This window comes from Homo sapiens, chromosome 12, assembly GCF_000001405.40.
Source record: "Homo sapiens chromosome 12, GRCh38.p14 Primary Assembly".
NCBI classification, from domain to species: Eukaryota; Metazoa; Chordata; class Mammalia; order Primates; family Hominidae; genus Homo; species Homo sapiens.
In genome coordinates this window covers 18,373,419-18,394,233 of record NC_000012.12, presented here as the reverse complement: position 1 = coordinate 18,394,233, position 20,815 = coordinate 18,373,419, and the positions used below count along the sequence as shown (strand labels likewise).

The window sequence follows — 20,815 nt, the reverse complement described above, 5'->3', positions numbered from 1 at the left end:
GGTTGAGTCTACTACAGTCTTTAATCTAGGGCTAGAGTGGACTTAATCCTAATGTGCATCTTTTTGGTTTCTTTATTAAATGTAAGGGACAGCCTGTGAGCTTTCTCCATTCTTATTGGTCAGAATTTCTATGTCTCCCAGCATTGTGTGGCTTCTCAAATCACATTTATTTTACATCTCCCTGAAGCAGTTCTCTTGTAGGCCCTGGAAAGTTTCCACCTGGAAAGTTGAGTAGTTTAGCACTCAACCAAATATTTAAGAAGACTCCAATACAGATTTCTGTAGCTCTCATCCTGCTCTCCAGTATGATGCTCTGAAGATGCCAGCTGCCTCAGCATCACTGAACTCTAAATTCTGCCTTTTTAAAAATATCTCAGCAGGAGCTGCATTCTCTTCTTATATTCTACCTTCGCAAGTCATGTGGGAGGACCCAGGTATAGAAAGTGACTCCAGGCTGAAAGCCACTTTAATCCCAAGGCTTACCTCAAGTCCTGTCTGTTTAATTTATGAAAACAGTTGCTTCGTATCTATTTTTCTCTTGTCATAATTCTGTCAGTCATGGGGGTTAGTCTTGCACTAGGTATTCTTCATGGTAGAAGTAGAAGTACTAATCTATTTTAGAACATATATTGTTATATATTTCATTCTGGGGTCTTTAGATTTGGAAGCATTTTTTGGTTGACATCAAGAAGTTTTTTTTTCAATTTTTATTTTTTACAAATATCACAGGCATATTTTCACTGAGTTTCATTGAGTCTGAACTTCCTCACTCTGATTACTTTTGGTCAGTTTGAAAGAAGGAATAATTAAGTCATCAACTAAATGATAAAATGTGGTACTGGGAAACTGAGGTTAATCTGATTCTAACACAAGTTTCACCACATTGAAGGCTGTTCTCCATCTATTTTCACAGTCCAGAATAAAACTGCACCACACTGATCATTAATAATTTTATTTGAGTGGGTGAAACAGAGGAAAATGTTGCTTATTTTATGAGTGTTATTAGCTTAAATAGAAACTGAAATATAAAACAATTAGAAATCACCAGGGTTAATTTAAAAACACAAACCTCTGATATTTAAAGGGAGTTACCATGATTATTATTTGTTGGTTTTGACCTCTTTTTGCTTGAATATATTTAAAATTTCAAGGCATCTTTTTCATATTAAAAACCTCTAAGTGTAAATATGCTAGCCTCTTATTTGTGGCACACTTGTTGAACACACGGTTTTACATTTTCAAGTAAGACAGAAAAAGATGCTTCATCTAGTTAAGATGACAATAGTCTAGTATGACAATGGATTGTCAATATATGTGTCATGAAGACTATGAGAATTTTCTGTCATCTTCAGTTCTTAAGGCAACTTTTTATACCAGAAACTATGCAAGGTCAATTCAGTCCTTATAATCTATTTATTCACACACATTGTTATCAGTGTATAGCATTAGAAATATAGTGATAAACAAGAAAGATAGGTTCCTTACTTTTTCCAGTTCTTGCAAATTAATGAGGGGGACAAGAGCTAAACACATGAGTGGGCAGGATAATAGCTTGTGTTAAGTGTTATAACATAAAAGGTAATATGATAGAGAGTGAGGGAAAAAAGGCTTCATCACATAGAGTGGCCAAAGAAGGACTTTTTGAGGTGACATTTAAGTGAAAGCCTAAAGGATGAGATAATTTAGTAATGTGAAGAACTTAGGAAACAGTTTTTCAGGCAGAGGGAATATCAAATAAAAAGGCCTTGAGATGGGAGCAGGACTAGCACATTTGAAGTTTAAAAAGGAGTTTGATGTTACTGGCTTGAAGTGAATGAGAAAAACAGTAATAAATATTGAAATTAGAGAGTAGGAAAGTAGCAAGATTACTCAAAAGAAAACTCCTGATCGCACTCAGTGCCCTAGTATGGGAGGGCCCAAACTAATTCCTCCTCCAGAAAATGACTACCATCTGCCCAGTTGATTTGGACTCTCTATTGACTTAACCTTGATTCTTTAATTTCTTAAGGGACTTACTCCAAAATTCTAATTAATCATCAAGTTATGTCTTCTCAACTGCCAAAATATGTCTCCCAAATCTAGCCACTTCTATGAATATCCACTGCTATCATCTTAGTTCTAGCCATCATGGCCTCTTGCCTAAACTGTTACATTCACCTCCTTGCTGCACTGCTTGCTTCTACTGTCACGTCCACTCCAATCCATTCTTCAACTTGTCGTCAAAGGTATCACTCAAGATTTTTCTGGTCACATGATTCCCTTGTTTAAAACCTTTACATTAATTTTCACTCTTGGAGTAAAGTCTGTTATCATGTTACATATCTTAATCTCTCTCTCTCTCTCTCACACACACACACATACACGCACAAAGAGATAGAGAGAGAGAGACACTTTCTCAGTTTGATGCCCTTGGCTTGTTATTAATGAGCATGATCAGCTGTGACATGCATTTTGCCAAGTATCAACTACAAATGCCACTAATTCCCTACTAGTTCTTCCTGGGATTTTGGTTCTATTCAAAGAATTATTATTTTACAAAGTACTCCTTAGTCACTAATTTGTGCTGTTAAAACAAGACTTATTTCTTTTCTGCTCTTTTTAAAAATCTGCCTTAATTAAATGTTGCTTTTCCCTGTTGACTAAAACAACTTTCTACCTCCTGGAAGGAAGGTTGAGAGATGGTTTATCACTGCTATGTGCTGATGTATATATGATCACTCTCTGCTTTGTTATTTTGAACTGAATAACTTCCAAACTTTTTACTTTTCCTTAAGACCACAGGAAATAAATCGTTAAAAGCAGACAAAATTACTTATTTACGTCCTAAACATTAATTAACCATCCAAGAAGCATGACATCAGGAAATGAAACCAGTTATGTAGGAAGGAACACTCACTCTTTGAAGCTATCATGCTTCAAGAATGATTGAGGAAATCATAAACAGCAGGCAAAAATTCATTCACAAGACCTAGGTCACTTACAGTAGGGGAGTCTGTTTCTGTGAAAGTCTGGCAATATGTTTTATACACTCCTTTAGTGGCTCTTCAAGATTACTTCTATTCTCTTCAGAATCAGGTTTCATATACTCCCACCCAGTAGCTGGAAAATCAATCTGAAAGAAAAAAAATGATTTGCCATGTGTTGAAGGTGTCTCAAAATACATTATTGATTTAATATTCCTATCTTAGATTTATAGAAACTAAAGAACAGAATAAATTCTATTTTTTCTGTGCTATTTATAATTTTAAAATAATTTCTAAAATAATTATTAGAGGTTGGACTTAGGATTTAAATATACAAGTTATTTAGCCAATTATGTATACAAATGGTATAGATGGGTCACCGGTAATGTTGTCTGAGGGAAAATGAGAGAAATAATAATATATGGTCTCTCCATAAAGATTAATATGTTACATTTTTGGTTAATGCTAACATTATATCCTTTTTACATTTCGGTGTTAAAATGTCTCCTTACGAAATGATGAAATTTAACATTGGTAATTATGCTTTTTTCATGTAACCCGCCTGAAAAAATAGAGTTAATCTATATTGATCTCTAGTTCATGAAATTTGCAAGTCTGAGAATCATTATGTACACATGAGTGAGCTCTTCTTTGGTAAAGAACTGTTGTGTTAGTAAAAAATCAAATAGAATATTTCTGCTTTGGTTCTGTAGTTCAGATTTATAGACAGTTCTAGAATCCAGCCTCCTTTTTTTTCTGGCTCAGTCTACTTTCTGTTAAACCATGTTTCAGTGATTCAGAATCTGATTAGTAAATAAAATTACAGTTAACAAAAAGACAGTTCCAGGCTATGTAAATAAGCTGGATATTCTAGGGCTCCATAGGTTTGCTTAAGGTTATCACACATACTGGGTTTTTTTCATTTTAATATTAGAGATCCCACAGACATTATTTTTCTCTGCTGAGTTATGTTAGGTTGGAATCTCAGAAAAAATTGAGGAACCTTACAAAGTAGATGGTGTGAGTTTCAGTTTGAAATACAGTTTAATATATTTGAGCGCTTATTTATTTGAAAAAGTTTTAGTAATTTCATTCTATAACCTCTAACGTTTGTTATAAGTTTTGTTTTTGATATAATCTGTGTTACAATATATCAATTACTACTCCAACATGATAAAATAAACAAGTACGAGATCAGCTTAACTGAAACATTACAACAAAGTTTGCCTCTTGACAAAGATTAATCTTGAAAGATGAACTTTGGTACCTTAGAGGGGAAGGGCATCCAGTACGAGCAAGTTACATGCTACTCTTTATATGGACAAATATTTTTAAATAGCTCTTAATGAGTTAGTATAATTTTATGTTGATACTAAGTAAATGGCATGGTAGATGAGAAAACTGAGAAAGGTAGATGAGCATACAAAAGAATTCCTGTGTACAAACCTATAATAAATTATTTGTGTATATTTCACTTAGGAAACAATTTTCATTTCTGATACGTGAGATCTTTTATCAAATTGCATTTTTTCATGAATTATGAGGCTAAATAGCTACTGATTCTTGAGTTACTATAGAAAATATTGGAATTTTTCCTAGTTGCCTTTTCTACTTTTTATAAGAGAAAACTTCCCCAAAACTATGCTTTAATGCATTTGCTTTAGAACACTTTTAAGCACCATACATAATGAAAGATATAAGTAATATCTATTATTTTCTGATAACTTAAAGTTTAATTGAGGAGAAAAGGCGCACACATTAACAATTAAAATAGGGAATAATAAATACATAGCACCCCAAAGCTGCGCTTCATTGTTGTGCTTTCAGTACTGACAAACACTCAGCTCTGTTCTTTCTCCTTCTATGGCTGTGGCTGACCAAGCCTGGCTTTGGTCTCAAATTTCTTTTTTTTTTTTTTGAGATGGAGTCTCACTCTGTTGCCCAGGCTGGAGTGCAGTGGCACCATTTCGGCTCACTGCAAGCTCCACCTGCCGGGTTCACGCCATTCTCCTGCCTCAGCCTCCCCAGTAGCTGGGACTACAGGTGCCCACCACCACACCCAGCTAATTTTTTTGTATTTTTAGTAGAGACGGGGTTTCACCATGTTAGCCAGGATGGACTCGATCTCCTGACCTTGTGATCCACCCGCCTCGGCCTCCCAAAGTGCTTGGATTACAGGCGTGAGCCACCGCACCTGGCTTCAAATTTCTTTTGAAAGGAACGCTTCAGGAGATCTATTCAAATGTCAACATTGCATGCGCCATGACATCTATTTCTCACATTCCTGGCTAAGCCTTGAGGATGCACTCCTTATTTTAACAACAGCAACAACAACAACAGCAACAAAAATATGTTTTTTTGGGGGGGATAGAGGAACATATTCAAACCTGGTTATCCTCCCTTCTAATTCACAGCTCCTTACACATTTGGATATCAACTTCTTGTGTTCCATTTATCCATCTTGCTTCACTTCTTCTGCTCATCCTTTGTCATTCACAGTTGGCCACCATGATTTCTACTATGGCTTCATTACTTGGCACTGCTCACGGGAGCTGTTGTGAATGTCCCTAGCGTCCATGCCCCACAACCATACCCATAAGGTGCCCCTGGGCCAATTTTGGGTTCCCATGATTCTGTCAGATTATTCAAAGAACTTCCACTTGGACTGTGCGTAGGTTGGTATTATAAGACACACGTGCTGGGCATGGTGTCTCATGCCTGTAATCTCAGGACTTTGGGAGACTGAGGCAGACAGATCACTTGAGGTTAGGAGTTCAAGACCAGCCTGGCCAACATGGTGAAACCGTGTGTCTACTAAAAATACAAAAATAAGCTGGGCATGGTGGCATGCACCTGTAATTCCAGCTACTTGGGAGGCTGAGGCACAAGAGAGAATCGCTTGAACCATGGAGGTGGAGGTTGCAGTGAGCTGAGGTCACGCCACTGCCCTCCAGCTTGGGTGATGGAGTGAGACACTGTCTCATAAAAAAGAAAAAAAGAAAAGAAAAGACATACGTATGTTAGACCATGAGTTCTATTGCAGTTCAGAGGAAGGAAAGATAACTGCTAACTGGGTGGCAATTGTGGTGAGTCTGAAAAAAGGAGTTGTAAAAGAGGGATCCATATGGTGGTTTTGGAGTGAGAAAAAAAAAAGGATCTCCGTTACATTAGAAATAAAAATACAATGTGTTCTAAAAACTTTGTATCAATGATAAGACTGGTGCTTCTTCCTAACGCTGACGATAATGGAATATAAGCATGTACTAAAATGTTAGAAAAAGTAAAATACTTCGAATGAGTGAGTAAGGTCTGTGGTTTAAGGAGACGTCTTGCTTAGATAAAAGGAAGAGCCAAACATTTTGGTATTCAGGTTCAGATAAGTGGACCAAAGGGCTAAATTGAGACATACGTGTGGGCAGTGTTTTTGTAGTCATCAGAAATATGGATACATATCATTAATTTAACAAAAACATTATTCCAACTACTGTGCTAGATGTTTGTGATATAATACCTTCAATGCCATCAGAGATCACTCAGTCAGTGGGAAGGAATACGAAGTGATAAATGTGTTGATAAAAATGCTATTGGGTATTACGTGAACATAGAAGAAGGGCACTTAACTTTGCTTGGTGTGAGAAGAGTGGAGGGGGTAAGGGAGAGATTTCTAGAGGGTCCGTGGGTGGAAAAAGATGAATCTCATTTACACAGAGTCAGAGGAGGGGTGGACAGTGGAGGGTGAAGGGGCGAGGGCACATTATAGACAGGGAACAGTATTCATAAATTCACATAAGGTGAAAGCAAGACAGTGCATGTCAGAAACGACAGCATTTTCAAAGTTATTGAAGCTTGAAGTGTCAAACAGGGACTGGCAAGAGAAGCGATGGGACAGGGGTCATGCTACAGAGGTTGGCCTTAATCCTCTGGGTAGTGCTGAGTTATTGAAGAGTCTAAGCAGGGAACTGGCAGGTTCAGATTTAAGTTTTAGAAGAATCACCCTTGTGACTGTATAAATTTTGGATTAGAGAATGACAAAACTAAAGCCAAGGAAACCAGCAGATGAGGTGAGGAATTGAGAGGATAGACAATAAAAATATAGAATATAAATTGGCAGGATATAGTATGGACCGGATATGAGTAGAGAGAAAGAAGGAAGGAGACAAGAAAATCAGGTAGGTGTATGTGGGGCATGAACAGACATAAAGAATTCAGAGGGTGAAAGTAATTTTGGAGAGGAAGTGGGCTCCGTTTGGGGCATGTTTCGTTTGAAGCTGCCAATAGAATATCCAGGTGGGGGTTTCAGCAAGTATGTGGCTATATTTGTCTGAAGCTTGATGTGTGAAGAAGTCTGAACTAGAGATACAGACTCAGAAGTGCACTTACACAGATATTGAGACAAGAACCTTAGAAATGTATGAGACCCAGTAATTCCATGGCTAAGTACATATTCAAGAAAGATGAAAACATATGTTCACACAAAAACATGTCCATACATGTTCATAACAGCAATATTCTTAATAGCTAAATAGTGGAAAGAATCCAAATGTACATTGACGGATAAATTAATAAATAAAATAGGGTATATTCATATGTGCATATTACAATAATGTAATATTATTGTATAAAAATGTATCTGTAATATAGAAAAAGGAATGAATCCCAATCGGGGCTACCACCTGGATGCACTTTGAAAATATTATGCTAAGTGACAGAAGCTGGCCACAAATAAGATCACACATTGTATGATTCCATTTAAATGAAATGCCCCAAACAGTCAAATTGACAGAGATAGAAAGAAGATTAGTGGTTGCTTAGGATTGGGGGAATAGGAGGTGAGAGCTAAGGGGTATGGGATTTCTTTTTTGATGTGATGGAAATGATCTGAAATTGACTGCAGTGATAGTCGCACATATCTGTGAAAATACTAAAAACTACTGAATCGCACACTTTAAATGGGAGGATAGTATGGTATGTGAATTACATCTCAAGAAAGCTGTTTTTTAAAAGAAACTAAATGAATGAGAGCATCCAGGGAGAATATGTCCACTGTGCACGGCAGCGGGCTGCAGACTGGAACCTTTGAGAATTGTCTTTGGTGAGAGCCTGGGAAGGAGACAAAGGATGATCAGAGAGCAGTGGAAGGAGATAACCGAGGGCAGTAACACCAAAGCCAGAGGAGGAGGGGGTTTGGTTCTGTGGAAGGAGGAGGGAGAAAGTTCAGTCTCTTTGAAGAAGAGGAGGGAGTTCAGTTATGGGGAAGAGACAGACAGTGCCAAGAAGAGCAGAGGGAGGGCTAGCCTGATGAGGACTGAAAACCATCACTGGGTTTGGCACCTAGGAACTAGCAGGTACCTAACCACAGTTAAGAGTGGTGGCAAGCCAGAATACAGTGATTGTAGATACAAACGGGGAGGTGAGGAAGTAGAGAAACATAGATCCCAGCACTTTGGGGGTCCGAGATAGGTGGATTACCTGAGGTCAGGAGTTCGAAACCAACTTGGCCATCATGGTGAAACCGTATCTACTAAGATACAAAAATTAGCTGGGCATGGTGGCGCACACCTGTAATCCCAGCTACTTGGGAGGCTGAGGCAGGAGAATTGCTTGAGCCTGGGAGGAGGAGGTTGCAGTGAGCCGAGATCGCGCCACTGCACTCCAGCCTGGGCGACAGAGTGAGAATTCATCTCCAAATAATAATAATAATAAAGAAACATAGACTAGAACAAGAACCGCATGAATTCTATGAAACAGCTCTGCATTTCGTGCTTAAATATGTGACAGAGCTGTTCCACTAGATTGCATTCGGGGAGAGGCAGGAAGTTGAAGGAGACCCAGGCTAAGTGAGTCAAGCAGTAACTTATGTATTATCTGCCTCCACTTCTGAACTAAAATCTATTTCACTCTGTCGACTGCTTCCGGTCGGCACATCAATCAACCATAGGACCTGAAAAAAGTATTGCCTGGAAGTGATCACATCTGTGTCATATTACATCCCTTGTCATACTGGAGTGGCTGCAGTGTGGCAGTAACCACCATCTAATGAGGACAATCGGAAAAGTGAAGTCAGGTAGGCTTAGTATAATCTTTTCATTATGCAGAGGATAAAATAGGTTAGGTGACTTGTTCAAGGTCATAAAGTTTTCTGTAAAAGGAAGACTAGAATCCAGATTTTCTAACTCAGCCAGATGTCTTTCCCCGAGACTCATACTAACTCCCTAACGAAACACTGGATGCAGAACTTGGTTGTAATTTCACCATCTCATAATCTTTAGGTTGAAAGATTCTGCTCTAAATTTAGCTGACTATTTAATTAAACTGATACTATTAAAGGTTTTGCCTTTACTACCTTAATAACTCTTATTTTATATATTGCATCACCAATTAAAATCATGCTGAGAGGCTTTTCATGTGTCTATACAATTTGAAATTATTTTGTAAAAATGGGATGGTTTAACTTTCGCATACTGTGGAATGATTTACATGCCCCTCTTCCACTTATTTCTAAGATGAATTCTATTATGGATCCAGATCTTTACGTGGAAATCGGTGCCACTATTGAATATTTGAAGTTTTCCTTCAAATTCCACTTGCTAAAATCTATGTTGATAAAGGAACTATTTACCTCATCTGAGAAGAATCAAGGATAGTCTCATCTGATAGACCTTCTTCTCCTTCTTCTACCACCATCACTCTTCTCTGCCCCATAGAACCTTAAAATCATGAATTTATATCCACAAAACTCTGACAATGGTCATACTTGAAAATTTTCATTAAGCTAAGGTGGTTTGGACCTGTCAAGAAATAGTTTGATAGAAAATACATTTGTCTTCTTAAAGAAAGATCACTTATATCTACACTTACACACCCCACAGGCCTATATAAAATGCAAGGTATCTCAAACTGAGTTCTTCATATTACTCTGTTGAAGACTGTCTATCTTTTCTCTGTGTTCATTCTTAAAACTGAAGATATTGCTATGAACTCAGGAACTCAAGTTTCTGTCTCTGTTTCCCTATATATTTCCTTCATATGGTTGCACCCCTTTCTGTTTAAAAAAAGTTTCTAAAATCTACCACTTAATTGTTTTTTCTTAGTTTTTGGCCCTATGATCCTTAACTTAGATCACTAAAATATTCTTCTAATAAATGTCCAGGCTGGGTGCAGTGGCTCACGCCTGTAATCCCAGCTCGTTGGGATGCTGGGGCAGGAGGATTGCTTGAGGTCAGGAGTTCAAGACCAGCATGAGCAACATAGTGAGACTCCCATCTCTACAAAAAAAAAAAAAATAATAATAATAATAAAAATAACAGGGCAAGGTGGCATGCACTTGTGGTTCCAGCTACTTGGGAGGCTAAGATGACAGGATCATTGGACCCCAGAAGGTGGAGGCTGCAGTGAGCTATGTTTATTCCATTACACTCCAGCCTCGGTGACAGAGTGAGCCTCTGTCTCAAAAAAAAAACACCCAAACCCAAACCAAAACAAGTGTTCACATATCCGATCTTCCTGTTTTTTTAAGGCATTTTCTACAACATTGCTGGAACTACTTTTTATGACTTACTGCCCAGATAATCATGTCCAAACCTGGTACACAATCTAGTGCCCTAAAGATTTTCCACTTTTTACCACTGTTCCTCACATAATTTATTCTTTAATCTTAACTAACTTGCCATATTTTGAAACTGCCAACTCTTTTCTGAATCTGTGTGTTTGCATTGTGCATTCCTTTATGACTGGATAATCCTTCCCACTTAAACTCGTTAGTGAGAATTTACTCATTCTAGAAAGGGCATTCAAATGTCATGTCCTCTGGGTGTCTGTCCCCAGACTTTTTACATTTCTTTACTTTCCCTCAGAAATATTCATTGCTATTCTCGCTGTGTTAGTGTCCCTACAATGGCTATAGTATCTGTCACATTACATCAGAGTGAGTTGCGAAAGTCTGTCTCTCCAGCTGGATTTTGCATTCCTTGAATTCCTGGCTTAGTATTACATATTCGCTCATTTTTGTAAGAGTGTTTACCATAATGTTTGGAGCATAGTAGTCATATGTAAAACATGAATCAAATGTGATTGAATTGAACCTCTGGCATTTTGCTATTTTTCTTCATTAGTAGAATATGTTTACCGGGTTTGTGATGAGTCTCTCCTCTTTATTCATGGATATATTTATCTTTTTGTTCTTTTAAAACAGAACAAGTGCTAATTGATAAGATATCGTGTGTGGAGTGTCTATGATATTGTGCCAAGATCTAATCTGAATAAGCATTCTTTTTTAACATGTCCACAGATTAGAAGTGGACCTTTAGGTGTCACGTGGTCGAATCTTCCTCTGCAAGAGTGTGATGCCATATTTTAGTAGCATTAATTTTTCCTTTCCATGTTAAATATTTTTCTGCGCATCTTTCTCAACTCTATGTCCCAAACCCCTCACCACAAGCCTGGAAACTTAAGAGCCTGGAGACTCTACTGACTTCTTCTAGAGCAGTGATGTCAGCTGAGGAAATCCTTTTCTCAAATCACATTTGACAATATCTGGAGACATTCTTTGATTTTCAGAATGAGAAAGTGCCTCAGGCATCTAGTGGAAAGAAGCCGGGGATGTTGCTAAACATCCTGAAATACACAGAGCAGCCCCCACCACAAAGCATTCTCTTGTCCAGAATGTCAACACTGGTAAAGCTGAAAAACTCTGTTCTAGAGGGTGCTGCCCAGAGAGCATTTTCTAATTTTTCCTATAGAGATGAAAAGTTCATATTCCATGAATTTCCGTGTATGAGACTGTGCATGCCTCACGTTTCCAACCAACCTGACAAACTACAATCAGGAACCCATAAGGAGCTGTCAGCAGTAAGGACCAAAGGCTGAAGTCATTTACCACCTTTCTTTTATGATCACTAATCACACAGAGTAGAGAGACTTTAAGAAAAAAAGAAGGATAATTACTTTGCAGTTTTTTTTCTACTACTCAGTTAATTGCTAGTCATTTTAAGAAACATATAACAGAAGAGATTTTAAAGAAATATGACACAAAGCAGAGGCAGGTGTGAGTAGGATACCAAGTTAATAATACATACCAATGACTGTTTTTAGACAATAGAAAGAAAATGAATGCCCATAATGAGTATACTAATGGCAACACTCCATAGTTCTCCAACATGACCTTGTAGGATGGAGAATGGTTTGAAATTGCCATTATATAAGCTGGGAGAAAAGTGCTTTGAGAGTACTGTACATAAAAGCAGTAGAGGTTTCACAAATCCCAGAAGGCTGGAGGCAGAGAAGGCTATTAAAATGTGTGATCCTGGAAGAAATTGTTTCTATAATTGACAACAAACTACGTATCAACCAATACTTGCCATGTGTACTTTAATCTTTTAGCCTGGCACTTACCTGCAGGGTCACCGGGGATGGCTGACTTACATCCCACACTCCTGGAGTTATCATTTCTACGGGAGGCTCACTCTGTAATGTCATGCTGAACAGCATAGACCCGAGAATGGATTTTCTGCAAAAGACAACACACACACACACAGACAGGAGTCACTTCATGAGGGAAGTTATAATTATCTGTAAATGTTTTCTTTTGGAATATAAACATAATCCGCTCTTACAGGGGCTTTATTCAGTTGCTAGAAAAGAAATGAGATAGTCCACCAGCCTAGACACTGATTAACAGTTCGTTTCTAATATACCACATGCTTGGCTATTTTCATAAATGCCTACATTTATTTTGCACATGAGAAAATTATTTGCCCACAGTGGTTTCTAATGGGTAGCATTTATTTTTAATTGCCATCAATGGTGATTATAAAGTGGGACTAAGAATTTCAGATTTATATTATTGGAGTTACAACTGCCTTAAATCAATAAAGATGTCAACTCTTCAGAACATATTTTGCTCCATGGAGTGACTAAATCCCCTGGGAAACTTTAAAGATACAAGTTCTAAATTTATTAAAAAAAAAAAGATTTAAATTAGCATAGCATATGATCTGCAGAATAAAAATAGTTGTGGGGCTTCACGGAGGAAACGCTTCCTTATGCATAAATAGAAAGATTATTCATATTCTAAATGTTTAAAAATCGGTGGTAAATTACCATAGTAAATGAGAGTGCATACAGGAAAGGCTTTAAACAGGGAAGAGTTTGTGGATGGTTTTAACAGCTTCAGTAACATCCAAATCCACAGATCCTTATGTGAATTAAAAAAGAAGTTGTACCTGGCTAGGTATATGAGTCAGAATATCAGTAAAATGTTCCAGTGATCACAGAAAACAGTGTTGGATTTTAATATGCCAACTTGAAAGTGCAAAACTGAAAGTCAACAAAATTAAATTTAAGTTTATAAAGAACTTTAATGCATCCAGTGAGCTTTTCTAAAAGCAATATACAATTCCATCTTGCCATTTAACAGATCTTATGCAAAGCATGAGGAAAAAATTCAACAAATAAAGCTTTCTTTAGACCTTTAGCTTTCTGAAGACTGCCTCTTTTATCATTTTCTCTATTTAAAGATATTGTCAGCACATATCTGCCTAGAGGAGTATAATGTGCTTTATTAAAATATAGGCAGATGTTTTATATGACTCAAGAATATTCTTGTAGCAGGATGAATTTTGGGTCTTCTTTGTTTCTTTGTTCCATCCCTCCCTTATCTAGAGAAAATCTGTCTTGGTATAACAATATCAGGGGTCCAGTATTAGTAAGGTATGAATTAGTTTAATAGAGGTAAAGATTAGAAAATTTTTATTGTAATTTTCCCCTTTGCCTGTCAGAGCATAGGAGCTTCACCCCAAATGGCCAAATCCCCATCTGCCTGAGAAAAGTTTTGGATTAGTGTTAGGCAGAATGCAAGAGGAGGAAGAAACATGTCCAATGCCAAACTTGGAGGTCATATTGTTCTCCACAGCATTTAGAGAAAATGTTTCTGTGCATGGGACAGAGTCAACAGAGGTGAGGAGGGAGGAGGATGTGCCATATTGGATAGGAGAACATGACGACAGAAAAGCCCATCACTTCCTGGGAATTTGGGAGGGTGAGAAGTAGAAGGCAGAGAAAGAAGGACCTGAGTAAGCACGGCGGACATAGGCGTCCCAGTTTGCCTCTCCTCTGCTTTGGCAAGCAGATGGGGAGAAGTGTGAGATCAGTGAGCAAAACATAATGTTGAAGGCAGAGGCGCTCCTCTTCTCACTCCCCGTTTCAGATCCTGGAAGGAAATCACCTCTTGAGAGGTTCTGCACTGCTTGTGGCATGGCCATTAAACTTGGCGTCATGTGATTAACAGGCAGGAGGAACTCGTGAGTTTAGCTTTTGTGGGCCTTCTTTGGTTTCTCTGTAGGTGAGATGGGATCTGGAAATATCTAAAGATTTTCGAGAGGGAGAGTTTCCAGAGTTTCCCTGGTGGGGATAAGGGCTTCTGTAACAAGGGCATGTGATAGGACCATCCAACCTGGGGCCAACTGGGAGTCGTTGGCAAACCTCAAGAGGGTCTATGGTGCCTGTGAGAGCCTGAGTCACCCAGGGCTTGCCAGGAAACCCTGGCCAAGCTGGGGGAGCCCCAGTCATGAGCTGCAGACTTCAGCTGTAACAAGCATCCGTCAGCTTAAAAAGGGGCTTTCATTTGGATATCAGAAGTCACCAGGGCAAAGGATCTGCTTTTATGATTTTGTTTTCTCCTTTTCTTATATATCCTTTTCCCCTCTTAGGAAGAGAGCCAGGGTGTGAGAAATTTATCTGAGTGACCCAGCATTTTTTTAAATTATACTTTAAGTTCTAAGGTACCTGTGCACAACGTGCAGGCTTGTTACTTATGTATACATGTGCCATGTTGGTGTGCTGCACCCATTAACTTGTCATTTACATTAGGTATATCTGCTAATGCTATCCCTCCCCCCTCCCCCCACCCCATGACAGGCCCCAGTGTGTGATGTTCTCCTTCCTGTGTCCAAGTGTTCTCATTGTTCAATTCCCACCTATGAGTGAGAACATGTGGTGTTTGGTTTTTTGTGCCTGTGATAGTTTGCTGAGAATGATGGTTTCCAGCTTCATCCATGTCCCTACAAAGGACATGAACTCATCCTTTTTTATGGCTGCATAGTATTCCATGGTGTATATGTGTCACATTTTCTTAATCCAGTCTATCACTGATGGACATTTGGGTTGGTTCCAAGTCTTTGCTATTGTGAATAGTGCCGCAATAATCATACATGTGCATGTGTCTTTATAGTATCATGATTTATAATCCTTTGGGTATATACCCAGTAATGGGATGGCTGGATCAAATGGTATTTCTAGTTCTAGATCCTTGAGGAATCGCCATACTGTCTTCCACAATGGTTGAACCAGTTTACAGTCCCACCAACAGTGTAAAAGTGTTCCTATTTCTCCACTTCCTCTCCAGCACCTGTTGTTTCCTGCCTTTTTAATGATCGCCATTCTAACTGGTGTGAGATGGTATCTCATTGTGGTTTTGATTTGCATTTCTGTGATGGCCAGCAATGATGAGCATTTTTTCATGTGTGTTTTGGCTGCATAAATGCCTTCTTTTGAGAAGTGTCTGTTCATATCCTTTGCCCACTTTTTGATGGGGTTGTTTGTTTTTTTCTTGTAAATTTGAGTTCTTTGTAGATTCTGGATATTAGCCCTTTGTCAGATGAGAAGATTGCAAAAATTTTCTCCCATTCTGTAGGTTGCCTGTTCACTCTGATGGTAGTTTCTTTTGCTGTGCCGAAGCTCTTTAGTTTAATTAGATCCCATTTGTCAATTTTGGCTTTTGTTGCCATTGCTTTTGGTGTTTTAGACATGAAGTCCTTGCCCATGCCTATGTCCTGAATGGTATTGCTTAGGTTTTTTATCCAAAAGAGACTGCATATTTCTAAAAGGACTATTTAAAGTTACTGAACTAATACTTTATCATAGATGAAACTTTATTTCTTCTCATTAGTTACGGGGGGGGGAACTCATGAGGAAGAGTGTGATACATGAGTTGCATTATTTATTCACACCTAAGTTGTGGAATGTGTTATATTTGTGTCCTTACCATATTTTTATGTCTTGGCTATGCTTTACTCCAGAAATCTGAGTGGTCTAAGCTGGTCTTGACAGAAGATGAGGGGACTCAAGAATTTGATGGTAATTACTGTCCTTTGATGGAGTCTTGGATGTATTAACAGTCACCATGGCTTTAACCCTGAGGCACATGTGGCAGAGTGAAGTCATCTGACATAGATGTGTGTATGGGGCAATGTATCAACAAATGGTGATGCATGCCTGTTATATCCCAGCTACTTGGGAGGCTGAGGCAGGAGAATCACTTAAACCCGAGAGGTGGAGGTTGCGGTAAGCTGAGATCACACCATTGCACTCCAGCCTGGGCAACGAGAGTGAAACTCCATCTCAAAAAGGCTAATATAATATTTAACTTAAAGCCATATATATATGTAATATTTATAACTTAAAGCCATATATAAGACCAGGCAAATGGGGACCACTGGTCATTTTTTAAAGTATTACTCCTGTGAAAACATTTATTATGTTAGTTAAAATTAAACATTTTGAAGGCAGGAGACACAAAAAAAGACTTTCATATAATGGAAAGAACACCAGAGTTTATGTCAGGACATCTGGAGCCTGCCTTTATTACCTTCCCTTTATTAACTTAACTTTTTTGAGCTTTTTGGACAAAATCAATGGTCTTCAGAGTTTACATATAGCTTTGAGGTTCTGCTGGTGTTTGAGGGTGAACTTCAGAAAGATGGGAAGATGTCAGTTAGGCTGGGCTATGGGTTTGTAAATTCTTGTAACGCAACACATCCATGTAATCATTCTTACACTTTGAGACTTTTTAATATGATGCCATTAGAAGAAGGACTATGCTGCTAAACATAGTATTTCAAAATATTTGTTCTGGAGTATCCTTAAGAATATTTTTAATTTGAATATATCGTATAAATTCATTGACTAGAAAAGCCAACACAAAATTTGTGACACCAGGAGAACAGATGGGCTGGTTTACCCTCTTTGGGCCCCATTTCCTCAAACAACAAGATCAGGTGTTTAAATAAAGCAATTATCAATTTTAGCCATAATATTCTATGTGCCCATTGCTGGCATCCTGGAGCCAAAGAATCTGTAGCTGGCAGGACCAAAGGATCTGATGTTATAAAATTCTTTGGGCTGCTGACTTTATTATGTCTAACAGGTTTCATGTGCAAGAGTAGAGCCCAGGCAAGGCTGAGCTGGAACCCTGTTGTGTAGGCTATTCTTGTGTCACTAAAAAGAAATTCCTGAGATTGAATAATTTATTAAGAAAAGTTTACTTGGCTCATTATTCTGCAGGCTTTACAGAAAGCATGGTGCTGGCATCTGCTCAGCTTTTTGGGAGGCCTTAGGAAGCTTCCAATCATGGTGGAAGGCAAAGGGTGAGCAGGTGTCTCACATGGTGAGAGCAGGAGCAAGCTTTGAAGATGTGCCACACACTGCCAACCAACCAGATCTTGCAAGTACCCACTCACTATCTCAAGGACAGCCACAAGCCAAGAAGGACCCATCTCCATGATCCAAACATCTCCCACCGTGTCCTACCTCCAACACTGGAAACTACAATTCAGCACAAGATTTGGAGGAAACAACATCCAAACTATATTACTCTGCCCCTGGCTCCTCAAATCTCATGTCCTTCTCACACTGCAAAATACAATCATGCCTTCTCAATAGTCACCCAAAGTCTTAACTCATTTCAGCATTAACTAAAATGTCTGAAGTCCAAGTCCAAAGTCTCATCTGGAGATCAGTTCTTTCAACCTATGAGCCCATAAAATCAAAACAAGTTACTTACTTCCAAGATAAAATGAGGGTACAGAAATTGGGTAAACATTCTTATTCCAAAAGGGAGAATTTGGCCAAAAGAAAGGAGTTACAGGTCCCATGGAAGTCTGAAACCCAGCGGGGCAGTCATTAAATCTTAATGCTCCAAAATAACCCTTGACTCCATATCCCACATTCCAAGCACACGGATACAATGGTGGGCTCCCAAGACCTTGCTCAGCTATGCCCCTGTGGCTTTTCTATGCTGAGATTGTAAGCTGCTGGTGGCTCTACCATTCCAGAATCTGGAGAGTGGTGGCCCACTTCCCACATCTCTACTATGCAGTGCCCCAGTAAGGACTCTGTGAGGAATCCAACCCCATATTTATCCTCCACACTTTTCTATTAGAGGTTCTCTGTGAGGGATCTGCCCCTGTAGCAGGCTTATGGCTGGGCACCCGGGCTTTCCAAAATATTCTCTGAAATCTAGGTGGAGGTTAACAAGCTTCCTTCACTCCTGCACTCTGTGTGCTTGCAGGCTTAACACCTTGTGGAAGCTGCCAAGGATTGTAGCTTGCACCTTACAAAGTGGTGGCCCAAGCGGTACCTGCGCCCCTTTGGTCTGAAGCTGGAGCCAGAGCCACCTGGATGTGGGGAGCAGTGTCCTGATGCTGCACAGGGCAGCAAGCCCCTGGGCCTGGCCCCAGAAACCATTCTTTCCTCCTAGGCCTCAGGTCCTGTGATGGGAGGTGCTGCCTGGAATATCTCTGAAATGCCTTTGAGACCTTTTTCACATTTTCTTGGCTATTAGCACCTGGCTTTTTTTCAGTCATGCAGATATGTCTAAGAAGTGGTTGCTCCAAGTCCATTTCAACTTCTCTCCTGATAATGCTTTTTCTTTCTCTGCCACATGGCCAGGCAGCAAATTTTCCAAACTTTTACACTCTGCTTCCCTTTTAAGTATAAATTCCAATTTTAAGTCATTTCTTCACTCCTGAATCTGAGATGAGGCTGTTAGCAGCAGCCAGGCCACCTCTTGGATGCTTTGCTGCTTAGAAATTTCTCTTGTCAGATACTCTAAGTCATCATTCTTAAGTTCAAACTTCCACAGATTCTTAAGGCATGAACACAATGCAACCAAATTCTTTGCTAAGGCATAACAAGAGTGACCTTTGCTTTGGCTCCCAATAAGTTCCTTATTGCCAACTGAGACCTTGTCAGCCTTTACAGAGTCTATATCACTATCAGCATTTTGGCCACAACTATTTAACTAGTCTCTCAGAAATCCCAAACTTTCTCTCATTTTCATGTCTTCTTCTGAGTGCTCCAAACTTTCAACCTCTGCCTGTTACCCAGTTCTAATGCCACATCCACAGATATCTTCATAGCAATACCCTACTCCTGGTACCGACTTTCTGGGTTAGGCCATTCTTGCATTGCTGTAAGGAAATACCTGAGACTGGGCAATTTAAAAGAGAAGAGTTTAATTGGCTCACAGTTTTCCAGGCTTTACAGGAAGCATGGTGCTGGCATCTGCTGGGCTTCTGGGGAGGTCTCAAGAAGCTTACAATCATGGCAGAAGGCAAAGGAGGAGCAGGTGTCTCACATGGTGATAACAGGTGGGAGGAGGTGCCACACACTTCCAAACAACCAGACCTTGTGATTACCTAGTCACTATCTCGAGGACAGGACCAAGTCATGAGATCTGCTCCCATGACCCCAAACACCTACCACCAGGTCCCACCTCCAACACTGAGGACCATAATTCAATATGAGATTTACAGCAGACAATATCTAAATTATATCCCTCTTGTAGGGTAGTGAAGTGTTTACAGAGTGTGCATGGAGTAAGGCATGGCACCTAAGAGCAGGAAGGGAGGTGGCGTAAGGTAGTTAAAGCTCAGACCTGCATTCTAGTTCTTGTTCTATTCTAAGTAGCCTGGTAACCAACTGCCGGTTTTTCAATCTTCCTTCATCATAGAGTTCTTCATCTATAAATGACGTATTTGGACTAACTGAGGGTCTTTTGGATAGGAGAGAAAAACAATAAGAAATTCTCATCCAGTTTTTTTTTGGTTATGATTTTGAAGATACATCTGAAATGACTTGACACAGTGGAGTCAGGGTTGGCTACTCAGGCAATTGTCTAAGGAATCTAATTGTTTTGAGATTAAGGTTTATTTTAGGCCTTTTTTGAAATTATGAAAAACATCCTGATTTTTCAAGGTTTTAAACTCACCTTGGGAGCTTTGAAAATACTGGTGCTCAGGCCAGGTCACAGACCAATCAAATTAGAATCTTTGGGCATGCTTGGGCTTTGGGATTATTTTTAAATCTCCTCAGAAAATTCTATTATTTAATGAGGGTTGAGAATCTCTGTGCTGAAGTAGCTTACCACAATTTAGAAATGCTAAGTAACTACCATACTATTAATTTTGAACTTGAATAGGGGAGGAAGCTCATGGAAATTGCTGAGGTGAGGATAACACTTTCTCGCTACATTGTGGCTACATTACAAATGCAGATGGAGTGGAAGCCTTGTCTGCAAAAGACATGATTATAAAACTTCTGTGGGCCAAATTTACCTTTGGACTTGAGCATTTTTTTTTTTTTTAGACGGAGTCTCGCTCTGTCGCCCAGGCTGGAGTGCAGTGGCACCAATTTGGCTCACTGCAAGCTCTGCCTCCCGGGTTCACGCCATTCTCCTGCCTCAGCCTCCCGAGTAGCTGGGACTACAGGCACCTGCCACCACGGCCGGCTAATTTTTTTTGTATTTTTTTAGTAGATACGGGGTTTCACCATGTTAGCCAGGATGGTCTCGATCTCCTGACCTTGTGATCCACCCGCCTCGGCCTCCCAAAGTGCTGGGATTACAGGCGTGAGCCACCGTGCCCGGCCAAGACTTTTAAAAATAGAACTGAAGACAAGTTTGCATGCTTGAAAATGTAGAAGTTTATTTTTATTTTCAGACTTTGTTGATGCAGCCCTAACTGATTTATCTGAGTTTAATCACCATTGGTTCTTCTGAAATCCACTTCTGGAAACCA

General features: G+C 39.3%; 1 protein-coding gene across 17 annotated transcripts in view; it reads right to left on the bottom strand.

The window, feature by feature from the left end:
• Nucleotides 1–20,815, bottom strand: part of PIK3C2G (phosphatidylinositol-4-phosphate 3-kinase catalytic subunit type 2 gamma) — a 483,857-nt gene that overhangs the window by 332,584 nt on the left and 130,458 nt on the right. For 16 of the 17 annotated variants that reach the window (XR_931307.3, XM_047429007.1, XM_017019471.2 and 13 more), the window contains 2 exons: nucleotides 12,354–12,468; nucleotides 2,982–3,112 (listed from right to left, as the gene is read on the bottom strand). Coding sequence is in view for 16 of the 17 variants with exons in the window: in XM_047429007.1 (XP_047284963.1) it covers nucleotides 2,982–3,112; nucleotides 12,354–12,468 (246 nt within the window). In the remaining variant the exon portion in view is untranslated. Of the gene's footprint in view, nucleotides 1–2,981; nucleotides 3,113–9,582; nucleotides 9,717–12,353; nucleotides 12,469–20,815 lie in introns of those variants that run through there. The other variant, XM_017019479.2, reaches the window with a different exon arrangement.